Source organism: Homo sapiens, chromosome 3 (assembly GCF_000001405.40).
Source record: "Homo sapiens chromosome 3, GRCh38.p14 Primary Assembly".
In the NCBI taxonomy this organism is placed as follows: domain Eukaryota; kingdom Metazoa; phylum Chordata; class Mammalia; order Primates; family Hominidae; genus Homo; species Homo sapiens.
Genome location: NC_000003.12, coordinates 195385850 through 195411642, shown reverse-complemented (window position 1 = coordinate 195411642; position 25793 = coordinate 195385850). Strand labels below are relative to the sequence as shown.

Genomic DNA, 25793 nt, shown 5'->3' with positions numbered 1-25793 from the left:
TTAGAGGAAAAATATTGTAGATTACCAAGGAAATAGCTAAATAAAATGTGTGCCTTTTGATGTGAAAATTGTTTCAATGTATTTTTTCTTCCAATTTAAAAAATTGTGTTTAAATACACATAACATAAAACTTATCGTCTTGACCATTTTTTAAGTATACAGCTCAGTGGTATTAAGTACATTCATATTAGGTAAAAGGATGCGTATTCTATTATATGCACACGTCATGTTGTGCTTATCCATTTTTCTGTTGGTGGACACTTGAATTGCTTTCACGTTTTATCTATTGTGAATAATGCGGCTGTGAACATGGGTATACAAATATTTCTTCGGTACTCAGTTTTCAGGTTTTTTGAGTATATACTCAGAAGTGGAATAGCTAGATCACATGGTAATTCTGTTTTAATTTTTTGAAGTGTTGCCATAGTACTTTCCACAATAGTGGTACCATTTTACATTCCCACCAACAGTGCGGAAGGGATCCAGTGACTCCACGTCCTCATTGACACTTGTTATGTTTTTTTTAGTAGCCATCCTAATGGGTGTGAGATGGCTTCTTAGTCTGTTCCTGCATCGATGGCAGAATAGCACTGACTAGATAATTTATAAATAATACACATTTATTTCTCACAGTTCTGGAGCTGGGAAGTCCAAGATAAAGATGCCAGCAGATTAGTGTCTGGTGAGGGCCAGCTATCTCTGCTTTCAAGATGGCACCTTGTTGATGTGTCCTCAATGGCAGAAGGTGGAAGGGCAAAAAAGGGACCATTAGGACCCTTTCTTCAGCCTCTTTTATAAGAGCACTAATCCATTCATGAAGGCGGAGCCCTCATGTCTTCATCACTTCCCCAAAGGCCCCACCTCTTCATACTGTGACAATGGAGATCAAGTTTCAACATGAATTTTGGAGAGACACAAACATTCAAACCATAGCAGGTAGTATCTTGTAGTTTTGATTTGTGTTTCCCTAATGATTAGTGATGTTGACCTTCTTTTCATGTGCTGATTGGCCAGTCGTATATCGTCTGTGGAGAAACGTCTATTCAGATCCTTTGCCCATTCTTGTATCATGTTGTTTGTGTCTTTGTTGTTGAGTTTTAGGAGTTCTCTGTGTAATCTGGATATTAATCCCTTACCAGATGATTTGCAAGTATTTTCTCCCATTCTGTGGATGGATTTTTTACTCTGTGTCTTTTGATACACAAAATTTTTCAGTTTTATGAAGTGCAGTTTGTCTGTTGTCTTTTGTTGCCTGTGCTTTTGGTATCATATCCAAGAAATTACCAAATTCAGTGTCATAAAGCTTTTAATCTACGTTTTCTTCTAAGAGTTTTATAGTTTTAGATCTTAACATTTCAGTCATGGATCTCTTTTGAGTTAATTTTTGTATGTGGTGTTAGGTAAGGGTCTTCATTCTTTTGCATGTGGATATCCAGTTTTACAAGCACCATTTGTTGAAAGGACTGACTTTTCCCCATTGCATTGTAGTGATACTCTTGACAAAAATCATTTGAATATATATATGAGGGTTAATTCTGGACTGTGTTCTATTCTGGAGGTCTATATGGCTGTCTTTATGACAGTATTCGTCTGTTTGATTACTGTGGCTTTGTGGTAAGTTTTGAAATCAGAAAGTGTGAATCCTCCAGTTTTGCTTTTCTTTTTCAGGATTGTTTTGGCTATCCATTGTCCCTTGAGATTTCATATGAATTTTAGGATAGGTTTTTCTATTTCTGTTTTTTTTTTTTTTTTTTTTTTTTTTTGAGATGGAGTCTCACTCACTCTGTTACCCAGGCTGGAGTGCAGTGGCGCAATCTTGGTTCACTGCAACATCTGCCTCCCAGGTTCAAGCAATTCTCTTGCCTCAGCCTCCCGAGTAGCTGGGATTATAGGTGCCTGCCACCACACCCAGCTAATTTTTGTATTTTTTGTAAAGATGGGGTTTCACCATGTTGGCCAGGCTGGTCTTGAACTCCTGACCTCAAGTGATCCTCCCACCTCAGCCTCCCAGGGTGCTGAGATTACAGGCGTGAGCCACTGTGCCCAGCCAGGTTTTTCTATTTCTACAAAAAACATCATTGTGATTTTGACAAGAATTGCATTAAATCTGTAGAAGGCTTTGGGTAATTGACATCTTAACAATATTAAGTCTTCCAATTCATTAACATGGGATATGTTTCCATTTGTTTATTTCTTTTGTACTTTTTTTTTTCCCCCAGGAATGCCTTATAGTTTCTATTGTACAAGCCTTTCAACTTACTGGTTAAGTGATTTTCTAAGTGTTTTGACTATTTTGATGCTATTATAAATGGCATTGTTTTCTTAATTTCCTTTTCAGATTGTACATTCTTAATGTGTATAGAAATGCAACTGATTTTTGTATGTTGACTATATCCTGCTACTTTGAGGAATTCATTTATTCTAACAGGTTCCTTTGTGGAATCTTTAGGGTTTTCTACATACAAAATAAGGTCATATTGTCTGTAAACAGAAATACTTTTACTTCTTCCTTTTCAATTTGATTCCTTTTTTTTTTTTCTTTTTCTTGCCTAGCGACTCTGACTGGGACTTCCAGTGCTATGTTGAATAGAAGTGTTGAAAGCAGCATCCTTGCCTTGTTTCTAATCCTACAGGGAAGCTTTCAGTAGAGTATGATGTTCACTGTGGTTTTTTGGTATATGGCTTTTATTATGTTGAAGTAGTTTCCTTTTATTCCTTTTTGTTAAGTGTTTTTATCATGAAAAAAAGAATTTTGTCAGTATGATTTTTATGCATCAATGGAGATGATCATGGATTTTTTTCCCTTCATTCTGTTGATGTGGTATAGTACATTGTTTTTTCTTCATATGTTGAATTATTCTTGCATTCCAGGAATAAATTCTACTAGGTCATGGTGTATAATCCTTTTACTATGCTGTAGAATTCAGTTTGCTAGTCTTCTGTTGAGAATTTTTGCATCAGTGTTCATAAGGGATATTGTTCCATAGTTTTCTTTTCCAGTAGTGTCTGGCTTTGGTATCAGGGTAATGCTGGCATCATAAAATGAGTTTGGAAGTTTTCTTCCTCTTCACTTTTTTGGAAAAGTCTGAGAAGGGTTGGTGTAAGTTCGTCTTTAAATGCTTGGTAGAATTTGCCAGTGAAGCCATTAGGTCTAGGACTTAATTTTTTTTTCTTTTTTTGAGACAGGATCTCACTCTGTCACCCAGGCTGGAGTCCAGTGGCATAATCTCTACTCACTGCAACTTCTGCTTTTCGGGCTCAAGTGATTTTTGTGCCTCAGCCTCCCGTGTAGCTGTGACTACAGGTGTGAGCCACCAATGCCCGGCTAATTTTTGTACCTCCTGTAGAGACAGGGTTTCGCCGTGTTGCCCAGACTGGTCTGGAACTTCTGAGCTGAAAGCAGACCGCCTGCCTTGGGCTCCCAAAGTGCTGGGATTACAGGCATGAGCCACTATGCCTGGCCTGTTTTGGAGATTTTCGATGACAGATTCAATCTTTTTACTAGTTATAAGTCTATTCAGATTTTCTCTTTCTTTATGAGAAAAGACTAAAGTCTTGATAAGTTGTGTTTCTAGGAATTTTGCATTTCACCTAGCTTGTCCGGTTTGTTGGCATATACTTGCTCATAGTACTCTCTTATAATCTTATTTCTCTGGAATTGGTAATAATGTCCCCATTTTCACTTCTGACTTTAGTAATTTGAGTCTTCTTTTTAAAAAAAATTCTGTAGAGCTAAAGGTTTGTCATTTTGTTGGTATTTCAAAGAACGAGTTTTTGGTTTCATTGACTTTTCTCTGTCGTTTTTCTACTTTCTGTTTCTTTTATATTTGCTGTAATCTTTCTTTCCACCTGCTAGCTTTGGTTTTGGTTTCATCTTCTCTTTCTGGTTCCTTAAGTCATAAAGTTAGGTTATTGATCTCTGAGATCTATCTTTCTTTTTTCTTTTGAGACGGAGTCTTACTCTGTTGCCCAGGCAGGAGTGCAGTGGCATCATCTCATCTCACTGCAATGTCTACCTTCAGGCTCCAGTGATCCAGCCTCCCAGGTAGCTGGGGCTATAGGCATGCACCACCATGCCCGGCTAATTTTTGTATTTTTTGTAGAGATTGGGTTCTGTCATGTTGCCCAGGCTTGTCTCAAACTTCTGAGCTTAAGTGATCTGCTTGCCTTGGCTCCTCAAAGTGTTGGGACTACAGGTGTGAGCCACTGTGCCCAGGACTTTCTTGTTTTTTAATGTGAGCATTTATAACTATATTTTTAATGTATTTTTTCCTTTTTTTAATTTAAAAAATAACTCAAACTTTTTTTGTGAAGATGGAGGCTTGCTGTGTTGCCCAGGCTGGTCTCAAACTCTTGGGCTCAAACAATCCTCCCACCTCAGTTTCCCAAAGTGCTGGGATTATAGACATGGAGCTACCACCCGTGGCTTTTTTTTTTTTTTTAAACTAAAAATGTTCTTTCTATAAGTTTAGTTTCAAAATTTTATTTCCATTCACTAATAAGAATTATTTAACTGCATTTTTTTATATTGCATGTACAGATATTTAAATTTTTATGAAGTGAAAATGTCCTTTTTTTGCCTGTCTGCCTTCCTTCCTCTCTCTCTCATAGGATCCTTTTATAAGGTGGGTCATTAAAGACATATTTAAATATGTTACATGACAAGATTTAAGCTATAGGACAGATAATATTTAAGCATTTAAGCCAATCTATCTGTCTGCAAAAATTTTAGTAGTTTACATTTCTTTCTCCTTGAATTCTGTCAGACACAACATATTTTGAATTTGTAGCGTGTCTTAGTTTATACTTCCTTGGAAGTGTATACTTACGAGTTTTATGAAGGTAAGTTCATGACTAACTGTCAAAGCTGTCAGCAGACTTACTCAAATCCAATCAATGTAAAGTGGTAAAATCTAGGGCCAAGAATAAAGGCATATGAAATATTTACTCAAAATACAAACTATCTGGAACAAAAGGGGAACTGAGTGTTTGATCAAACCTGTAGCTTAGAAGAAAGAAAAGAAGGCTTACCCCTGTAAACTCAACACTTTGGGAGGTCAGGGTGGGAGGATCACTTGAGGCCGGGATTTTTAGTTCTCTCAATCTGGTGTCTTGGGATGAATAGTTTTCTGTTATTTAGATGGTAATATTAGGTACCACCAGGAATGTGCAACTATGATGCTGTAGAAATCAACAGGTGTTTTAATGAGTATCCACTGTATCTGTAGTCCTTTCCTAGCCATGGTAAATCAGTGGATTATATCTAGTGATAAACTATAGAATATAAATAAATGCCCAGCCTGAGTACACATGACTGAAGTTTTACAGTCTATCACTTAAATTACACAATCTCCTTTAGACTATGAGGATATTTAAATAAGAGGGTGAGGACTTATTGATAGAAAATAAATTTTGAAGTATAAAGATTCTTGACTCTTGATTCTTGATGTGATTGCATTAAGGTTAATGTAGCTAGATTGATTATTCAAGCAGAGGTAACCCAGTTTTCCATTTATGTTTATTGCTGAAAGACAAGACTGCTAAATTTGTAGGACAGAATGTATAATCCACCTGATATGGTTTGGTTCTGTGTCCCCGCCCAAATCTCATGTTAAATTGTAATCCCCATTGCTGGAGGTAAGCCTGGTGTGGGGGTGATTGGATCATGGGGGCAGTTTCTCATGAATGGTTTACCATCATGCTCTTGGTGCTGTTCTTGTGATGAAGTTCTCACAAGATCTGTTTGTTTAAGAATGTGTAACTCCTCCCCCTGCCCCTGGCTCCTGCTCTGGCCATGTAAGATGCATTTGCTTCCCCTTTGCCTTCTGCCGTGATTTGGTTTCCTGAGGCCTTCCTGAAGCCACTATCATGCTTCCTATACAGCCTGCAGAACCATGAGCCAATTAAACCTCTTTTCTTTATAAATTACCCAGTCTCAGATACTTTTTTTTTTTTTTGAGATGGAGTCTCACTCTGTTGCCTAGGCTGGAGTGCAGTGGTGCAATCTCAGCTCACTGCAACCTCCGCCTCCTGGGTTCAAGCAATTCTCCTGCCTCAGCCTCCTGAGTAGCTGGGATTACAGGTGTGCGCCACCACACCCAGCTAATTTTTGTATTTTTAATAGAGATGGGGGTTTCACCACGTTGATCAGGCTGGTCTCGAACTCCTGACCTCGTGATCTGCCCACCTTGGCCTCTCAAAGTGCTGGGATTACCGGCGTGAGCCACCGTACCAGACCTCAGGTGTTTCTTTATAGCAATGAAAGAACAGACCAATACATCATCCTTAACAGTTGATGAAATTAATTGGAAGTGATTGGGCTTGTATATGTGTTCCTTTAATTTTGAGAGTTCATCAGCAAAGGGTAACAGTAACCATAGCCATACAAAATGAACCATAGAGTTGGATTGCAATCAATCCTAATTTTATAGAAAGACAAGAAAGCACAGATCTCGATCTGTCCGTACCTTGTCTCATGGAGAGTGAGAGCTAGATTAGCAGTCCTTGTATTTGTAGGAGTTAGACTGTGTTTAAGCGGCAATAGGCTGGTTGCGGTGGCTCATGCCTATAATCCCAGCACTTTGGGAGGCTGGGGCGGGCGGATCACTTGAGATCAGGAGTTCGAGACCAGCCTGGACAACATGGTGAAAGCCGTCTCTACTAAAAGTAGAAAAAAAAGTAGCCGGGTGTTGTGGTGCTCATCTGTAATCCCAGCTACTCAGGAGGCTGAGGCAGGAGAATCGCTTGAACCTGGGAAGCAGAGGTTGCAGTGAGCTGAGATTGTGCCATTGCACTCCAGCCTGGGCGACAGAGCAAGACTCTGTCTCCAAAAAAAAAAAAGAAAAAATTATATATTATAATTATATAATTATATTTATATTATATAAATACGTATGTGTGTATATATAAATACATATGTGCGTGTGTGTATATAAACTATATATGTGTGTATGTATATAAATATATATGTGTGTGTGTGTGTATATATGGCAATATAACTTTTGCCTCAGCCTTCTGAGAAAGAAAATGAAGATTTCTTTTTCATCCAATGAATTACATTTAGCTTCGCGGAATGGGTTGAGAATGGAAAGGGGAGGCAGGGAATCTGGTTACTTACCTTTCTTCCTGAATGTTACAACTCATTTTCAGGGTATCTAGTTGGGAACATTTTTATTCTCATGTGCTGCCTATAATTCAATAATTTTATATTTCTGGGATATTTAAAAATATTTTATCTCTTCCTTAGAAGCACATTTTTGGTTCATCAAAAATATCAGGCCAGAAGTGTTTTTCAACATTTCTAAAATTGTTTTCAGCCATTTTAATTTGACTTAAACCTGATGTTAATTCTTAGTCCTCTTGTTTGACCTGTCGGCAGCTTTTGACATACTTGATTACTCCTTCTTCCTTGATAACACTTTTTTCACTTCCCTTCTCTATGACACCCTCTTGGTTTTCTTCTTATTTTATGTGTGTATGTATGTATGTTGCCTAGGCTGGTCTTGAACTCCTGGGCTCAAGTGATTCTTGTGCCTCAGCCTTCCAAAGAGCTGGGATTATAGGAATGAGCCACCGTGCGGGGCCTGGTTTTCTTCTTATGTCATCAGTTGCTGCTTCTCAGATTCTTTTCCTCATTCCTTTTGTTCTTCTGACCTTTAATGTCAAAATGCCCCAAAGCTTAAGTCATCTCTATCTTTACTTTTTATTTTAATAATGTCCAGTCTAATGGCTGCCGATACTATCTATGTGCTCTTGATTACTAAACTTATACCTCCAACTCAGACTTCTCTCCTAAACTCTAGACTCAGGTGCATCCACCTATTTGAAGTCATCACTTGTATATCTAGTAGATATTTTGGAGTCAAATCCAAAACTGAACTCTAGATCTTCTTTCCCTAAATCTGTTCCGCCTGTAGTCTTGCCCATCTCCGTTGATTGTAACTATTTTTCTTTTTGCTCCAGCCTGAAACTTTGAAATTATACTTGATTACACATTTACCTGTACCTGGTGTACGCATGCATATGCTTGCATATCACATCTAATTCATCAAGAAATCCTCTTGGTTCTACATACAAAATATATCCAGAATCTTAGCATTTCTCAGCACTGATTGGTGCTTACCTTGAGCCATCTTCATCTTTCATCTGGATGACTGCTGTAGCCTCCTTACTAGTCTCTTTGCTTCTTCCTCTTTTGTTTCTTTGCAGTCTTCTCCACGTAGCAGCCAGAATGAGTCTTGACAAAATACTTTACAGCATGGTTCTTCTCTGGTGCAGACCTTTCAGTGGTTACCTGGTATAGCTGCTGTTATCGTTGCTATGGGCCTACAAGGTTCTGAATGTGATGGGACTCTCCATTAGTATTCTGACTTCTTCCGCAGCTCTCTCCCTTTCTGGTTCTGTTTCGGCCGTACAGGCCTCCTTGCTATTGAACGTTCCAGGAATGTTGCATTGGTGGCTTTTTCTGCCTGTTAACACCCTTGTCTGCATGGTTCACTGTGTTACTTCAGGTCTTTGGTCAAATGTCACTTTCTCAGTGAGGACTATTTTGATCAATTTTAAATAGTAAAACTGTAGCCGTCCCTCTCTCCCCTTATTTCACTTTCCTTTTTTCCCATGGTACTTACCACCTTATCGCATACCATCCAATTGACTTATTGATGATGTTTACTGTTTATAGCTTGTCTTCCCCTTCAGAATGTAAGCTCTAGGATGGTAAGGATCATTGTTTATTTTCTTCTTATATTCCAAACAATAGACATTTGCTGCCGTTTGTTGTTAAAGAAAAGGGAAATTTTTTCATTTGCCAGAATTTTTCTAGGAATGGTGTTTTTTAAAAAACAAATTTTAAGTTGCTGCTCTTAAACTTTTCCCTGTTTCTGATTAGTATAACTTGTTTGATTCTTTTCTTTGAGTGTCCAAGGATCCTGTCTGATCATAAATTGTATGTGTTGAAGAAATCATGATAATGTAATTTTGTGCTCGTGGTAGAGCGAATACCTCCTTAGCTCCTGTCAAATTTCTGTCAAGGCCTGTTTTAGAAGTCCAAATCTGTATTATTCTAGAAGAGTATTATAAAAATTTTCCTTTTCTGTCAACTTAAAAAGTTATATGTATAATATTGGTTACATATAGGTAAATAGGTGCGACCTTGTATGCCAAAAGAGGACTTTTTCCTTTTTTCATTATAACTTTAGTTTTAAGGTTTATGCAATTGTTTGTAGTTCTTTATTCTTTTATTTTTTTCTGGAGACTTTTATAGTATCATTTATATAAGGCTGGAGAGGGCACAGCAGATTGGAATCACAAGGCTGGAGCAAGAGGGAATTGGAAAGTTACACATAAGTACGTGTGTACTGAGATACAGGGAGATCACCATTTTGCGTGACCCCAGGCCGCAAATAACAGAGTTGTTTTAAATGCTCCATTCATCACCCATTCAACAAATGTTTACCTGGTAACTAGCTGAACTAGAGATAGCTAAATGAATCATAGTGTCTGCTTTTGAGGCCCTCAGTCTAGACATAATGACCAATAATTTAATTATCATTAGTAAATTGAATGTCAGGCGCTCTGTTTGAAGTGTGCAGAGTGCTCTGTGGAAATGGTGGTGGTGGGGTGCTCATTCTGCTGAGGAGTAGAAGGTGCTTCAGTGTTCGAAGTTTACCATCCCAGGTGGTTTATGGTGTGAAGATTGTCTTTAAAACCCTGAGCCTGTTTATTAGGCTCTTAAATTTGTATTCAGCTTCCTCTTTACAGATCTTGTCAAATTTCTGGGGCTTAATGGAGATGAAATACTGTGTAAAACGGTTTTTTAAACACAGCTGCTTTACTGTCATCTAATAGTTCTGTCATTTAGCAGTTTACTAAGTTTTCTCCCCATTCAAGATTCTGTGATTCTGGGGTTGTTGCTTATGTACTCAATGCTTTTCTCTTCATATTTCACGTTACTGTTCTGTAGTCTTCTCTCTTTGTTTTGGATACAGAGTTCACTGTCTCCCAAGCTGGAGCGCAGTGGCACAATCTCAACTCACTGCAACCTCTGCCTCCCGGGTTCAAGTGATCCTCCTGCCTCAGCAACCGGTGTAGCTGGGATTGCAGGCGTGCACCACCACGCCTGGCTAATTTTTTTGTATTTTTAGTACAGACAGGGTTTCACTGCGTTGGTCAGACTGGTCTCAAACTCCTGACCTCAAGAGATCCACCCACCTTGGCCTCCCAAAATGCTGGGATTACAGGCCTGAGCCACTGCGCCCAGCCTAGTCTTCTCTTAATATACACATGTGATATCATGCATGAAGGTGGCATGTAGATTATAAAACATAGGAAGATGTAATGCAGAATAACTTTTATTATGTATTAATAAGATGCTTGGTTGTTTATGGAGGAGTCTGGGAAAGTTATAGATGTGATTGTTGAGCAGCCTGTGGTATGTCGTGGAGAGAACCCTGCAAGGCTGAGTATTTGGTTCCCTACCTGCTGTGATTTGCAGGGTATTCTGTGCCTTCAGTACCACTTCCAATTCCTGAAAAGGATAATGGGGAACAGCCATAAAAGCAGGAATATGGCAGGTTTCTGATTATAATGTAGTTAATTAATTAGTTAATTACAGAGACGGAGTCTTGCTATGCTGCTGGGACTGGTCTGAAACTCTTGGGCTCACGCTGTCCTCCTGCTTTGGCCTCCCAAACTATTGCCAGTATTACAGGCATGAGCCACCTCGCCTGGCCTCTGATTCTAATTTTTGACAGTTTTGTCTGGAACTGTCCCTAAATATTCTTATCATCTTGCTTTGTTCTCTCATTGAGGGTCTGCTTATATCCCATCTTTGAGATACTTGGTTGTCTTTTCATTATTATCAGCCACAATGTTCTTTCTTCATGGAAATCTCCTCTGCCCCTTTTATGAATCATGAAGTTTACAATGCTGTCTTCTCCTTAGATGTATTGCCTGTGACACTCTACTAATAACAACAAACTTTAACTGCTTTGGTTGAAAATTTGATTCTAACCCTTTAAGCAGTGATAACTTAATTTTCCTGTCATGTTGAAGCCTACTACAATGATAAGAATTCTTGGAAATGGAATGATTTTGTAGAAAGTCAACTTTAAAAAGAAGAGGTTTTTTTTTTTTTTAAGGGAAAAAGAATAACTTCATATCTGATCACACTTAAAACATTACTAGTATTTCCTTGGATTAGTATTCTGTCAATAATGATTATTTGCCACTACACATGTTAAAAATGACTGTATATAGCTACTGTCTTTATGCAGAGCAAATTTGGAAGTGACTATTGAAATCATATACCTGTTAATATGAGAAGCTGAAGGCCCAGGAACAGAAGATTCTATAGACCTCTCCTCCCACCTCAAATTCTCCATGTAGGATGATTATCTGGAATATATATATATATACACACACATATATATATACACATACGTATTTTTTTGTTGTTTTTTTTTTTGAGACGGACTGTCATTCTTGTTGCCCAGGCTGGAGTGCAATGGTGCGATCTTGGCTCACCACAACCTTTGGCTCCCAGGTTCAAGCGATTCTCCTGCCTCAGCCCCCCGAGTAGCTGGGATTACAGGCATGCGCCACCATACCCGGCTAATTTTGTATTTTTAGTAGAGACAGGGTTTCATCATGTTGGTCAGGCTGCTCTCGAACTCCCAACCTCAGGTGATCCTCCCACCTCGGCCTCCCAAAGTGCTGGGATTACAGGCATGAGCCACTGCACCCGGTCCTATTATCTGGATAATATTTTAAGTTCTTCCTTTTTTTAAATTTTTTTATTTTTTAAATCATGAGCTGGGATTTAAAGGGGTTGTTGATATCTGAGTTATGACTTAAGAGTGTGATATTCATTCACCAGAGCCATACTATTTGCATCTCAACCTTGTGCTGTGATTTGGTTGCTTTTTCAATTATACTCCTCCATGGCCCCTGATGGTTTTTATTTTGGATACTGTGTATTGATGGGGGAAAATTTGAGGGGAAAAGGGTTATAGATTTTTTTTTTCGCTACTTTTTTTAAAAAAAGTTTTTTTTTTCCCCACTGGGAAGTGGCAGAGTAATGTTTACAATCTGTAAAACAGAAATATAATGGGGCTTGCTTAGAAAGATACAAACGTAGATGGAAAACAAAATTTTTTTTCTGGCCAAGTGTTATGGCTCACGCCTGTAATCCTAGTACTTTGGGAGGCTGGGATGGGAGGATTGCTTCAGGCCAGGAGTTCGAGACCAGACTGGTCAACAAGACTGGTCAGCATAATGAGATCCTGTCTCTACAAAAAATAAAATAAATCTGTTTTCCTCCAAAATATTAAGCCAAACAAAACACTTTTAAAATCCCACTATTTTCATCTATATTCATACTCCTTGTCTTTTAAGAACTATGCAGAGGAGACTTTTGAGAAGATGAATGAAACTTGTTAATATAAAATCTGGTGAGGTTTTTTTTATGGCTTAAACATTTTTTTCCTCCCTTAACTCTTTTGAAAGCAAAAGCAAGGGCCTGGAGGAAATCTTACTTAGAAGAGAAACAAATCCAGGTTCTATTAGATTGGTGCAAAAGTAATGGCAAAAACCGCAATTACTTTTGCCCCAACCCAATAGCTTTCCTTTGAATGCTTAATCCCAAATAATGGAATGTTAGGTCTTGAAGTGATAGTCAAGCTGTTTCAGAGTGAGAGAGCTGAGGTCTGGTGTGATTAAATGATTTTCTCAGGGGCTCGTATGAGTTGACAGACTAAAATATTGGTTTCCATTTCTAGTTTGTTTTTCCACTACTCCCTTTCCTATTACAGGACTGAATTTCTCATGGATCTAGCTAGGTTTGCTTAGTAGATCAATTTGAGCACGTAGGAGCAGTTACAACATTTGTAAGATAATAAATAGAGAAGAAAGACCTTTGAATTTCATCCCTTGAAACTTTTGAAAACAATGAAGGCAGAGACATTTTATTTATTTATTTATTTATTTATTTATTTATTTATTTATTTAGAGTTGGAGTTTCACTCTTGTTGCCCAGGCTGGAGTGCAATGGTGTGATCTTGGCTCACCGCAACCTCTGTCTCCTGGGTTCAAGTGATTCTCCTGCCTCAGCCTCCCGAGTAGCGGGGATTACAGGCATGCGCCACCATGCCTGGCGCATTTTTAGTAGAGACAGGGTTTCACCATGTTGATCAGGCTGGCCTCGAACTCCTGACCTCCCGTGATCTACCTGCCTTGGCCTCCCAAAGTGCTGGGATTACAGCCGTGAGCCACCATGCCTGGCCAGTGGAGATATTTATAAAAGGTTATTATGTAACAAATATACAGTTGCTTCTTGGCCTTTTGGCTAAGATTAAGTGTAAATATAAATTTAGAACTGTAACCTTCCTTCATACTGATTCTATGTTGGTTCTCCTCTGTTTTTAGGCTCTTAGAGGAGTTGGATAGAACCTTCCTTGATAACCTTAGAAACCAAGTGGATTTTTAAATATTTCATCATTTTATATGTCATATATATGTAGTCCTCTAGTCTAGATTGAAGTTAGGAAGTTAGGAGAGGACTCCAGTCTGTATTTGACGTGTGATCTTTGGAAAGGGACAGCAGTATTGTGTTTTTGTCTCTCTTCCAGTAAGCCTTTTGCACGCCTAGAAGTGTTTTCTCTTAAAGGAAATTAGATTTGCTGTTTTAATTGCTGATCTTAGGCCTGTTTTAACTGTTTTTGCCCCTTTTCAGACTATTTCAAATTCATTTTGGAAGTATGTGATGATCTTATTACTGCTTTCTTCTCAGGTGGCCCCATAACATGAAAACAAAAAGAGATTGTGCATTTTCTTTAACACTATGTAAATAATCATAGCTGACATTCACTGACTACTTAGTGTTTTCACATGTATATTAACATTTGTCATACGTCTCTGTGGGAGAGAGTGTTGTTTATCTATGTTTTAGAGAAGAAACCGAAACACAACTTGTTCATCATTACACAGCTAATAAGAAGTATAGTAGCGATTCAAACACAAGAAGTTTTCTTTTTTTTTTTTGAACTTTATTCTACTGCCTCTCAACATAGAGATATTGTAGAGACCCAGCATAGAGGACCCAGAACTTAATCAAACTAATAAGGGGTGGCCATTCACATTATAAAAGTATTTAATGGAGCACTTCTATTAAAAAGCAGGTTTCTAGAGTGTGTGCTGTGTTGTTTTCTGGTCGAAAACAGAGGGAGTAATCTCATTGGTATAGGACCTTTTCGTCACTCTTTTTTAACCACTTAACAAATCCCAGGACTGCCCTTGGGTCAGTGGGCCATCCTTGATGCAGCTGTTGTCCTTTCCTTGCAAAGAATAGTCCAGCATTGCCCAAGGTACATAAGGCTGTTGAGCTGAAAGAGGAAGTTGACTTAGGGTGATAGGTACTATGATGGACACATACATATAGGCACCTCTCCTGAGTCTCTAAACGGTTATTCAATTTACATGCAGCTTTTAGAAATACATGTATTATATAAAACAAAAGAATACAACAGTTTCAAAATCTGCACATTTTGAATATTTATTTCTATTTGATGATTTCTTTATTAGGTAGTTATGACTTAGAGCCTGAAATCCACCTTTAATGTTTGAGGATATTTATGTGCCTATTAATGATCTTGAATATCCTGCTATTGGCAATTTAGATTGCATCACCATGTGACCTAATTTTTTTTAAATTATTAATTTCATTTTAAGGCTATTGCCAAGTTGGAATGAAGGGTTTTTTTTTTTTGGTGGTGGTTGTTAGTTTTTAAGGATTTTAAATGGATGGGAAAAATAATTATTTAGCATACTTCTTCTTTTTTTTTTTTTTTTTTTTTCTTTTTTGAGACACAGTCTCACTCTGTCTCCCAGGCTGGAGTGCAGTGATGCAATCTTGGCTCACTGCAACCTCTGCCTCCCGGGTTCAAGCAATTCTCCTGCCTCAGCCTGCCAAGTAGTTGGGATTACAGACATGCGCCACCATGCCTGGCTAATTTTTGTATTTTTAGTAAGACAGGTTTTCACCATGTTGGCCAGGCTGGTATTGAACTCCTGACCTCAAGTGATCTGCCTGTCTCAGCCTCCCAAAGTGCTGGGATTACAGACGTGAGCCACCGTGCCCGGCCCATACTTCTTTTTTCTTTAAAATAATTTTATAAGGAAAATGTAATGCTCATGTTACACATTTAATGTATTTAGTTATTTTAATGTATACTCTTTTTACAAACAGTAGCTTAGAAAGTTTATTGCTACAAGAATATGCAGTTATCTGAGTGGAGAGAGTTCTATTTTTGAGCCTCATTCATTTCATAGCCATGTCTTGGTGGTAAACTTGCTGTTGGATTTTTTTCTCTTCTAGTTTTCTTATTTGTTTTTTTTTGAGATGGAGTTTTGCTCTTGTGTCCCAGGCTGGAGTGCAGTGGCGCGATCTCAGCTCACTGCAATCTCCACCTCCTGGGTTCAAGTGATTCTCCTGCCTCAGCCTCCCTAGTAGCTGGGATTACAGGTGCCTGCCACCACGCCTGGCTAATGTTCATATTTTTATTAGAGAAGGGGTTTCACCATGTTGGCTGGGCTGGTCTTGAACTCCTGACCTTATGTGATCCACCCACTTCAGCCTCCCAAAGTGCTGGGATTACAGGCATGAGCCACCACACCCAGCTTCTCTTCTAGTTTTATGTTTTTAGGTAACTATTTTTCAATTGATAATAAAAAACTATGATGCATGAATAGATAAGAGAATGAAGGTATTGTTATTAAAAATAAAGTATCTGTTTTTCTGAATTCTGGGCTTATTCAGCTTCTTAGAGTACAGACTGCTAGAGCTAAGTCCAAATTTTATTTTCTTTTATGTATTTCATATATGAGAAAAGATTTTCATTCATGTTCTTATATTTGACATTCTTAATGGTCAGTAAACTTTCTGTAAAGGGCCAGATAGTAAATATTTTATGCTTTGTGGGCCATATGGTCTCTCTTGCAGCTACTCAACTACGCCATCATGGCGTGGAAGCTGCCATAGAGACTACGGAAGTGAATTAACTTGTCTCTGCTTCCGTAAAACTTTAGAGGAACAGAAATTTGAGTTTAATATAATTTTCATGCATCACAAAATATTATTTTTTAAAAATATTTTTCAGCCACTTAAAAATGTAAGAACTATTTTTAGCTTATAGACTTTGTAAAAACAGGTTATGGGTCAAACTTGCCTGTTGGGTAATTGTTTGCTGACCTTTGTGACTGTGCTCATTGTCTTCTCTTTTCTTCCCTTTCTCTTAACATCTATCTCCCTTATTACTTATTCTCTGTTTTGCTCATTTTGCTGCTCAGTCATATATTTTATTTCATTATTAATGTGTATATAACTTGATTTTTTTAAATTAAATTTTAAGCTATGGAGGGTAGGGGTCTATAATTTTGGCCTCTTTATTGCCTTGCATTTTTATAAAAGTTATGTGCTTCGTAAAAATTGGGGAGGATTGCAGAGAATTAATATCTATCATTTAATATTTTGAAAGATTGTTGGGTAAATTCTTTTATTTCACTTATTAGTTTTTTAAACATATGTCCCAGAATGGTTCTATCTCAATGAATAGAAGTCATCTATTCATCTGCGAATTGATTTTGTTCTTTGTGTCATGTACTGTGATTGATGATATGAACAGTCCTCATTTAGTCTTTACCACCCCCTACTTTAAAAAAAAAAAAAAAAAAGAGATGGAGTCTTGCCCTGTGGCCCAGGCAGGAGCGCAGTGGTGCAGTCATAGCTCACTGTAACTTGAAACTCCTGGGTTAAATAAAGCAATCCTCCGGGCTCAAGCAGTCCTCCTGCCTCAGAATCCACAGTAGCTGGGATTACAGCCACACACTATGTGCCTAGCTAACATTTTTTATTTGGAATTTTTTGAGAGACTGAGTCTTGCTTTGTTGTCCAAGCTGGTCTCAAACTCCTGGCCTGACGCTACTTTTTGTATTTTTAGTAGAGACTGGCTTTTGCTCTGTTGGCCAGGCTGGTCTAGAACTCCTGGCCTCAAGTGATCTGCCCAGCTCGGCTTCCCGAAGTGCTGGGATTACAGGCGTGAGCCACTGTGCCTTGCTGCTTACCTTTCTTTAAACATGTTGTTTTACAAAAGTGAATTAGTAGAATTGCACAGTGAAATAAGATTGGAGAAGTTACAAAAAGTTTATCCCAACCCATTTGTTTAGTAGAAACCAACGATTAAATCTCAAACTGGTCATTTCAACTAATTTGCTTGAAAGAAATGGAAGACTGAGTAAAGATAAATAAAGGTTAAAATGTAAATGAAGAGGGTATCTGACAATTAGCGTACTTAGTGAGTTTCTCCCTTGGCTCAACAAACATTTTGTTTGCGTGTCTGTACTGCTATGGGGAACTGAGACTAGTGAGCGAGGTGCACAGTGATAGAATGTGTGTGAGGTGCTGGAGGGGCACGGGAGGGTACGCCATTCAGCTTGAGTGGTTGAGGGGTTCCAGGAGGACCATGTCTTGGGGAGATGGTGTTTGGACTTCTTTTTCCCCTTTATTAGCTTTAAACGTTGCTTAGAAATGCATAGTTGCTGAAAATAGTTAAACAATCTAGAATTTAGTAAAAAGCGCAAATCCTTATTTATACTTTCTGCTATCAAATCCCCATTCTTCAGAGTTGTAGTTCGTAGACTGATAAATATGCTCCCAAATTGAGCTCATGCTATGCATATAATTTTGTAGCTTGCTTCCCCCCCCCCCAATATAATACTCTATCCTGTGCAGATTTCCATATCAGTAGATACAGATCAACCTCATTTAAAATCTTCTGCCTCACATAATGGTATGGATATATGGTAATTTATTTACATTATTTCCTATTGCTGCACATCTAGGTTTCTAACGCGTTACACTGAATATCCTCATACACATACATTTGTTCTCGTGTGTAAATTAAGTTTAAATGATGAGTAGGTGAAGGGACTGAGGACTGATGTGAATGAAAAATGTTTTCTAGGTTAAGGGGACAATGCATAGTTTGAAAAACGTTGCTGAAGCAAATGAGAAACTTTTAGTCAGGAAGAAGTATTTCTGTTTCTGTGCTACAGAGTGCAGCACCTTCCATTTTCTCCAGTCATATGCTAGAGCATCTCATTTTATCATAGGCATTTCTTTACTGAATAATTCAAAGTTATTTTCTTATTTTAGAGATTTAAACACTTCTTAAAAATAAATGTTACCCAGTGGAGAAGCAGAATCACAAGTCAATAAGATGATTATTCAGAGGTCACACAGAGGTGAAGTGGGAGTTCTGGAAATAGAGTTTTTTGTTTTATTTTGAGACAGTGGCACCTAGGCTGGAGTGCACTGAAGCGTCAACCTCCTAGGCCCAAGTGATCCTTCCACCTCAGCCTCCTGAGTAGCTGGGACTACAGGCGTGAGCCACCACGCCTGGCTCATCTTTTTATTTTTTGTAGAGACAGGGTCTTCCTGTGTTTCCTAGGCTGCTCTCGAACTCTTGGGTCCAAGCAGTCCTTCCCCTCAGCCTCCCAAAGTGCTGGGATTACAGGTGTGAGCCACCATGCTTGTTCTGGAAATAGTTTTCATCCTAGCTCTGTCTCCTGAGAATATCTTACTCAGTGTAAATCCCCCATTACTATCCAACTTAAAAATTTAGTTAAATCTTAAAATACCTACTTGAGAATTGCTAGTTTATCAAGTAGATATATGAAAATGGCATAAATGACTTAAAGTAGATGAATTACATTTTGTTATACATACTCTTGAGTGTAAAATGTTTTCATCCCCAAAACTTAGTTGCTGCTATTTTGTTTCAGACAAATTTCCAATTTTGAAATGTTGCCTTGTAGTGTGGTATGAAGTGCTAACTGTTATTATAATTGTATTCTCTTTTGTCAATAAGACAATATTTGGCTTATTTAGTTCTGCATTTTACATAATCTAACCTTTGCTAATTTTTCTGTATTAAAATTATATTGCTAGGAGAAGAAGAGAGATGAAAATTAGTCTTAGGTACTGATTAAAAAATACTTTGGAAACAAAACAAGGGTGGTATTGTTCTGAGCTATTTCTGAAAGTAAAAGCTCTTCTTGGTTGCCAACAACGCCTTGCAGTTTGGTTGCATGTGTTTTGTTATCAAGAAATCCAATTCTTTGTACACCTCAACTTTTAAAATTTCTCACTTATTTAAAAAGTACGTGCTAAATAGCTGTATTTTGTGTTATTAATTGGAATGATACTAATGCTTTGAGTATAAATTAGCGTAATGTGTTCTGTCATTGTCCTAAACAGTAATTGTATTACCTGTTGTATTGCATGATTATGAAGTATTGATACTAAATTCCAAGGTAATTATTACTTCATGTGAAGTGTAATTTTTAAGCATTCATATCTATCTTTTCATTTAGAGTTACTTTTCAAGAGTAAAGTGTACATTTAAACAAACGAAATAACTTATTTTATATTTAATTTTTCTAGGGCAGCTTTGGAAGAAGTAGAAGGTGATGTGGCAGAATTGGAACTAAAACTTGATAAGGTAAATTTTACAAGTTAGCTTTTTGAAACATTGATTCTCGTTTGCTGTAAATAATGATTAGTACCTACAGTAGTAGGTCTCTTTTTTATTTTTTGGAGACAGAGTCTCACTCTGTCGCCCAGGCTGAAGTGCAGTGGCATGATCTCAGCTCACTGCAACCTCCGTCTCCTGGGTTCAAACGATCCTCCTGCCTCAGCCTCCCAAGTAGCTGGGATTACAGGCGTGCACCACCATGCCCAGCTAATTTTTTGTGTTTTTAGTAGAGACAGGGTTTCCCATGTTGGCCAGGCTGGTCTCAAACTCCTAACCTCAGGTGATCCACCTGCCTTGGCCTCCCAAAGTGCTAGGATTATAGGAGTGAGCCATCGCACCTGGCCTGGTAGCTTTTTATCTCTATGAGGGTAAATGCTATTATTATCCCAGTTTTACACATGAGGAAAGTAAGACTAGAGACACTAAGTAGCTTGTGTAAAGTCTAATCTAAGTGCCAGAGCAGGAATTCAAATCCATGTCTGACTTCAAAGCTCACTAAACATCCTTTATGTTGTTAGAAGCTTTTTCTGGGGCCAGGTGTGGTGGCTCACGCCTGTAATCCCAGCACTTTGGGAGGCTGAGATGGGCGGATCACCTGAGGTCAGGAGTTTGAGACCAGTCTGACCACCATGGAGAAACCTCATCTCCACTAAAAAAATACAAAATTAGTGTGGTGGTGCATGCCTGTAATCCTAGCTACTCGGGAGGCTGAGGCAGGAGAATCGCTTGAGCTGGGGAAGTGGAGGTTGCTGTGAGCTGAGATCGTGCCATTGCACTCCAGCCTGGGCAACAAGAGTGAAACTCCATCTCAAAAAAAAAAAAAAAAAAGAAAGAGAAGCTTTTTCTGTATTTTCTACCAAAAAGATTGCATCTTTCTTTTTTGTTGCTTAATGGATTTCATATATAACCTGACCATTGTATAAATTTGGGTCTGGCCACGTTCAAATGTAAATACAATTTAAAATATTAATTCCATTTTTAAGCTAATACCAGAAATACTTATAGATACTCAGTAATCTGTATGGTCATATTTTATGGAAGGGTAAATGTACATTGATTCCCTCCATCTATATTATTGATGATTTTTTTGGTGTCTGTCCAAGAAACACTGTTTGCTATATAGTAGGCAGAAGCAGTAGAATGAGTAAGACAGCTTCCGATCCATTTGTTTAGATACTTCTGAAACCACTGCTCATTTACATGTTTCTCTTTAAATTTCTGGAGATAAATCAGATGTATATATTTGAAATACCTTTTCTGAAAATAATTTTCTAGTTTAATAATTATAATTATAAATGGCATTGCTGTGTAACGTAGTGCTCCTGAGACCTTAACTTTGCTTAGGAACCCCTGGGGGATCTTCCCTGGGGATCCCATCTTGTGAAAAAACAGATTCTGATTCAGTAGCTGGAGACACCTGAGATTTTGTGTTTGTAACCGGATTCCAGGTGACGCCCGTGCTGTTGGCCCATGGACCACGCTTTTGAGTAGCAAGGATATAAAATATATTAAGCTGAAGGTTTTCAAATGTTTTGAAACCATGAAACACACATCTTTATATAATATAAATAGTCTAGAAACTATATTTAGTTCTATATGTAAACAAATTACATCAAAATTTTAGAAGATGTTTAGAGATAAGTTATTTTTGTATAGTACTGTATAATTTTTAAAGCCCTGTAATATATAGTAGTATCCTTTTAATTTTTACAATAATCCTGTAGGGTTAGATAGGACAAGTGTTATTACTCCCGTTTTATAGCTGAGGATACCAAAGCCCAAGGAAGTGATGAGGACTTGCTTCAAATCACAAAGTAGAAGAGGCACAACCAGGGCTAGAACCCCTTTTCTTTTTTTTTTGAGACAGAGTCTTGCTCAGGCACCCAGGCTGGAGTGCAGTGGCGCGATCTCGGCTCACTTGCAACCTCCGCCTCCCAGGTTCAAGCACTTCTCCTGCCTCAGCCTCCTAAGTAGCTGGGACCTCAGGCTCACGCCACTATGCCTGGCTAAGTTTTTGTATTTTAGTAGAGACGGGATTTCACCGTGTTGGCCAGACTGGTCTCGAACTCCTGTGCTCAGGCAATCCGCCCGCCTCGGCCTCCCAAAGTGCCGGGATTACAGGCATGAGCCACTGCACCCGGCCCCTCTGTCTTTATGATCAGTTCAGCGCTCTTCTTGCGCATCACTGCACTTCAGGATCCGCGTTGGGGGAGCACCTGCCACTGGGAAAGGTTCTGAGGAACGCTAGCTGGCTTCCAGCAAGTCTTTGTAAAAATTAATATTTTAATTTTGGATAAGGAGATTATTTGAAAATGCCTTCGTTTTCTACTTAAAAATTACATGTCTGGCTTTTTATTACTATTTTATTTTATTTTATTTTTTACCCTGAGGCATTACATTTATTTTCAAGTACTCTTTAAAACAAAATTTTAAATTCTCAAAGTAGACAACAGAAAATATAGTTTTGATTTTATGGAAGATTTATGAGAGAGTATGTAGAGGGGCAAGTCCTTCTAGAATCACAGAGTGGTATAAGAAGGATATCTTATTACTTATATATACATAAGTGATACATATATTATTACATATGTATTATATACATGAAATAAGAGTAAGGTAATAAGGTAGAACCACATGTAAATCATATGAAACACTGTGGTGGGACACCTCAGACTTTAAAATACCTAAACAGATAGAATCCACTGACAGTGTTTTTGCTGATTATTTTGCTGTTATGAGTGGATTCTTTTTTCCTTTGTATTATTCACTTGGGGTAGGGCACACACACTGCTAGAATCTTCAGACCAAAAGATTCAAATCTGAAACAAGTTATTGAAGTATCGACATTGAGTGCTAAGAACTATAAGCCCGTTCTAGAGTCTGTCTTACCCAAAGGGCTACCAAGACACATGGAAACCTGACAGCTTAAAAAAATCACTGTTTTCCCTCGCACTAAAGTTCCATAGTTACTTTTATATTTCGTACCTCTTCCAAATTCTTTTTTTTTTTTTTAATTTTTAATTTTTTTTTTAAGAAATGGATTCTTGCTCTGTCACCCAGGCTGGAGTGCAGTGGTGTGATCTCGGCTCATTGCAGCTTCCACCTTCCAGGTTGAAGCGATTCTCCTGCCTCAGCCTCCTGAGTAGCTGGGATTACAGGGACACGATACCACACCTGGCTAATTTTTTCGTATTTATAGTAGAGACAGGGTTTCACCATATTGGCCAGGCTGGTCTCGAACTCCTAACCTCAGGTGATCTGCCCGCCTTGGCCTCCCAAAGTGCTGGGATTACAGGCGTGAGCCCCCATGCCCAGCTCAAATTGTTAATCTATTAACTATTATTTTTATTTTAGAAACTATGGGGAGTTAGCATAGAGAAGAGAGGCTGAGAGGAGGAAGTGGTTGTTATTGAAGGTAGTGTCAGTGAAGGACTAATGTGGGTGGTGGAGGGGTTGCTCCAAGTCTAGGTTAATGATTTCATAGCTTTGTGCAGGGCAAGTTCCACCTATAGTATCATTGTAAATCATGCCAGGGACAGGTTAAACTAGCTTGTTGACTTTGCCTATAATGTATGCCACCAGTAGTTCATTCTTTGTGGTGAATAAGGCTTTATGAGTGGCATTGCTCTACGGAGTTCAATTATTGATCCATTCTTGCCAGGTGTTCTGTCATTGACAGCATCATAGTGCATCATAGTTGCCATCTAGGCTTAATTTCTGCATGTGTTGCATTGTCTGACTGGCATGCTTGTTCCCCATTGAGCAGATACTCTTTAAATCTCAGCCAAGTACTACCAAATGTTGGCTCTTTTTCTTCTGTTGCATTGTTTCTTGCATGTACTCTGATTTAAGCTGTTATAGTATTGTAATTTTGGGTGGGGAGCATAGCCTAGTAGTTAAGAACACAAACATTGGCTCTTTTTCTTCTGTTGCATTGTTTCTTGCATGTACTCTGATTTAAGCTGTTATAATATTATAGTTTTGGGTGGTAGCATAACCTGGTAGTTAAGAACACAAAGCCTGGAGCTGCTGCTGGGTTTGAGTCTGGCTCTATCATTTACTAGCAATATGGCCTTGGACAAGCTCTTCAACCTTTCTGTGCCTCAGTTTCTTCTCTCCAAAATGGGGAAAATAAGAGTGTCTATTTCATAGGATTATTATGAAACTAAAATGAGATAATACATGTAAAGTACTTAGCACAGTTCTTGGCACGTGGTAAATTCTAAATAAACAATGATGCTGTCTCTTCAACAGACTGTTAGCTCCTTGAAGAGAGATTGTCCTTAAAAAGGGGAAAAATGGGCTGGGAGTGGTGGCTCACGCCTGTAATCCTAGCACTTTGGGAGGCCGAGGCAGGCGAATCACTTGAGGTCAGGAGTTTGAGACCAGCTTGGCTAACATGGTGAAATCCTGTCTCTACTAAAAATACAAAAATTAGCTGGGTATGGTGCCCCTGGCGTGGTTGTGTGCGTGCGCCACTGCACTCCAGCCTGGGTGACAGAGCAAGACCCCATTTCCAAAGAAAAAGAAAAAACCCTCATTTGTTTTGTGTACTTGGTGTATACAAAGTCTTATGTTTTACTTATATTATTTCTTATTATTATAGCAATATTGCAAAATTGATATCCCTAATTTGCGCATGAAAAAACAAGAATTGGAGAGTATGTTACTCAAGGATAGTCAGCAGATAAGTTGTTTGTATTCCTATCATCTGGCAGAGTGTCTATGACATAGTAATTGCTTAGTAAAAAGTTGTTGAATGAATTAGGGATATTAGTTTGATAATTTAGATGGACTTGACATTTAATCTTGTTGTAGGTAAAAATCTTCCCTCTTTGTAGGTTTATATTATTCAGTTAGAATCTCATTTATCAGTGTCATCTAACAAGTATTTTGACAGCTGGCAAAATCTCAGTCTTCTCTCTTTCTGCCTCCCTCCCTCTTCATTGCCAAGTCCGTCCTTCCTCCTGGATAGCTGCAGCGTATATGTGGTTCTGCTGTATGACAATTTCATTTTCTCTGTAACTCCTGTGATGGTGACCTCTGTTCTACTTCTGATACCTATTTCATGGCTATGTTCTGTGCCTCATCACCCAGGGTTCTAATCTTTGAAATCTGGAATGCTGATATCCTACTTTCTGAGTTGAGTCTCCAGTCCTTCCAGTTCTCAGCCTCATTACTGCTTTTGTTCTTCAGCCCTACCTCTGGTCTTTCACTATCCGCTTGTGATATTCCAGATCACTTTTTTTTTTTTTAAATTTTACTTTAAGTTCTGGGATACATGTACAGAATGTGCAGGTTTGTAACACAGGTATACATGTGCCATGGTGGTTTGCTGCACCCATCAACGCATCATCTAGGTTTTAAGTCCCACATGCATTTGTCCTAATGCTCTCCCTCCCCTTGCCCCGCACCTGACAGGCTCCGCTGTGTAATGTTCCCCTCCCTGTGTCCATGTTTTCTCATTGTTCAACTCCTACTTATGAGTGAGAACACGCGGTGTTTGGTTTTCTGTTCCTGTGTTAGTTTGCTGAGAATGATGGTTTCCAGCTTCATCCATGTCTCTGCAAAGGACATGAACCCATTCTTTTTTATGGCTGCTCAGATAATTTTTAAATACACTTCAATGTATTCCTCTTTTTTGTAATTAAAAAAAGTTGAGATAAAATTAACCTAACATAAAATCCAGTATTTCAAAGTGAGTAATTCATGGTTTTTAGTATAGTCCCAGTGTTGTACAACTATCACCACTATCTAATTCCAAAATATTTTTCACCCCAAAAAGAAACCCTGTATCTATTAGCAGTCACTCCCAATTCTCCTCTCCCTCTGTCTTCTGGCAACCTAATCTACTTTCTGTCCCTGGATTTGCCTATTCTGAACATTTCAAATAAATGGAATAATACAATATTTGGTCTTATGTGACTAGCTCCTTTCTCTTAGCATGTTTTTAAGAGTCATCCATGTTGTAGCATGTATCAGTCCTTTGTTTTTATAGCTGGATAATGCATCATTGCATGGATGTACCTCATTTTGTTTATCCATTCATCAGTTGATGGACATTTGAGTTGTTTCCCTTTTGTGGCTGTTGTAAATAATGCTGCTATGATCCCTTTCAGAGTACTCTTAATGTTATTACATCATTATTTCTCTTCAGAGACTTTCATGTCCCTTCCATAATAGCTACTCTGCAGAATTCTCCACTAT

At 38.4% G+C, this 25793-nt stretch overlaps 1 protein-coding gene across 13 annotated transcripts in view, besides 1 other annotated feature; it reads left to right on the top strand.

Annotated features, from left to right (window-relative positions):
* ACAP2 (ArfGAP with coiled-coil, ankyrin repeat and PH domains 2) overlaps window positions 1-25793 on the top strand; it is a 168276-nt gene that overhangs the window by 31378 nt on the left and 111105 nt on the right. For all 13 annotated transcript variants that reach the window (NM_012287.6, XM_011512603.3, XM_006713557.4 and 10 more), the window contains one exon: window positions 19496-19553. In NM_012287.6, coding sequence (NP_036419.3) covers window positions 19496-19553 — 58 coding nt within the window. The remainder of the gene's footprint in view (window positions 1-19495; window positions 19554-25793) is intronic.
* Window positions 16800-16889: an enhancer, noted in NCBI's record as "active region_21054". NCBI's record gives its function as "activates an Ori minimal core promoter by ATAC-STARR-seq in GM12878 lymphoblastoid cells {active_cell/tissue: GM12878}" and the evidence as "EXISTENCE:reporter gene assay evidence [ECO:0000049][PMID:35858748]".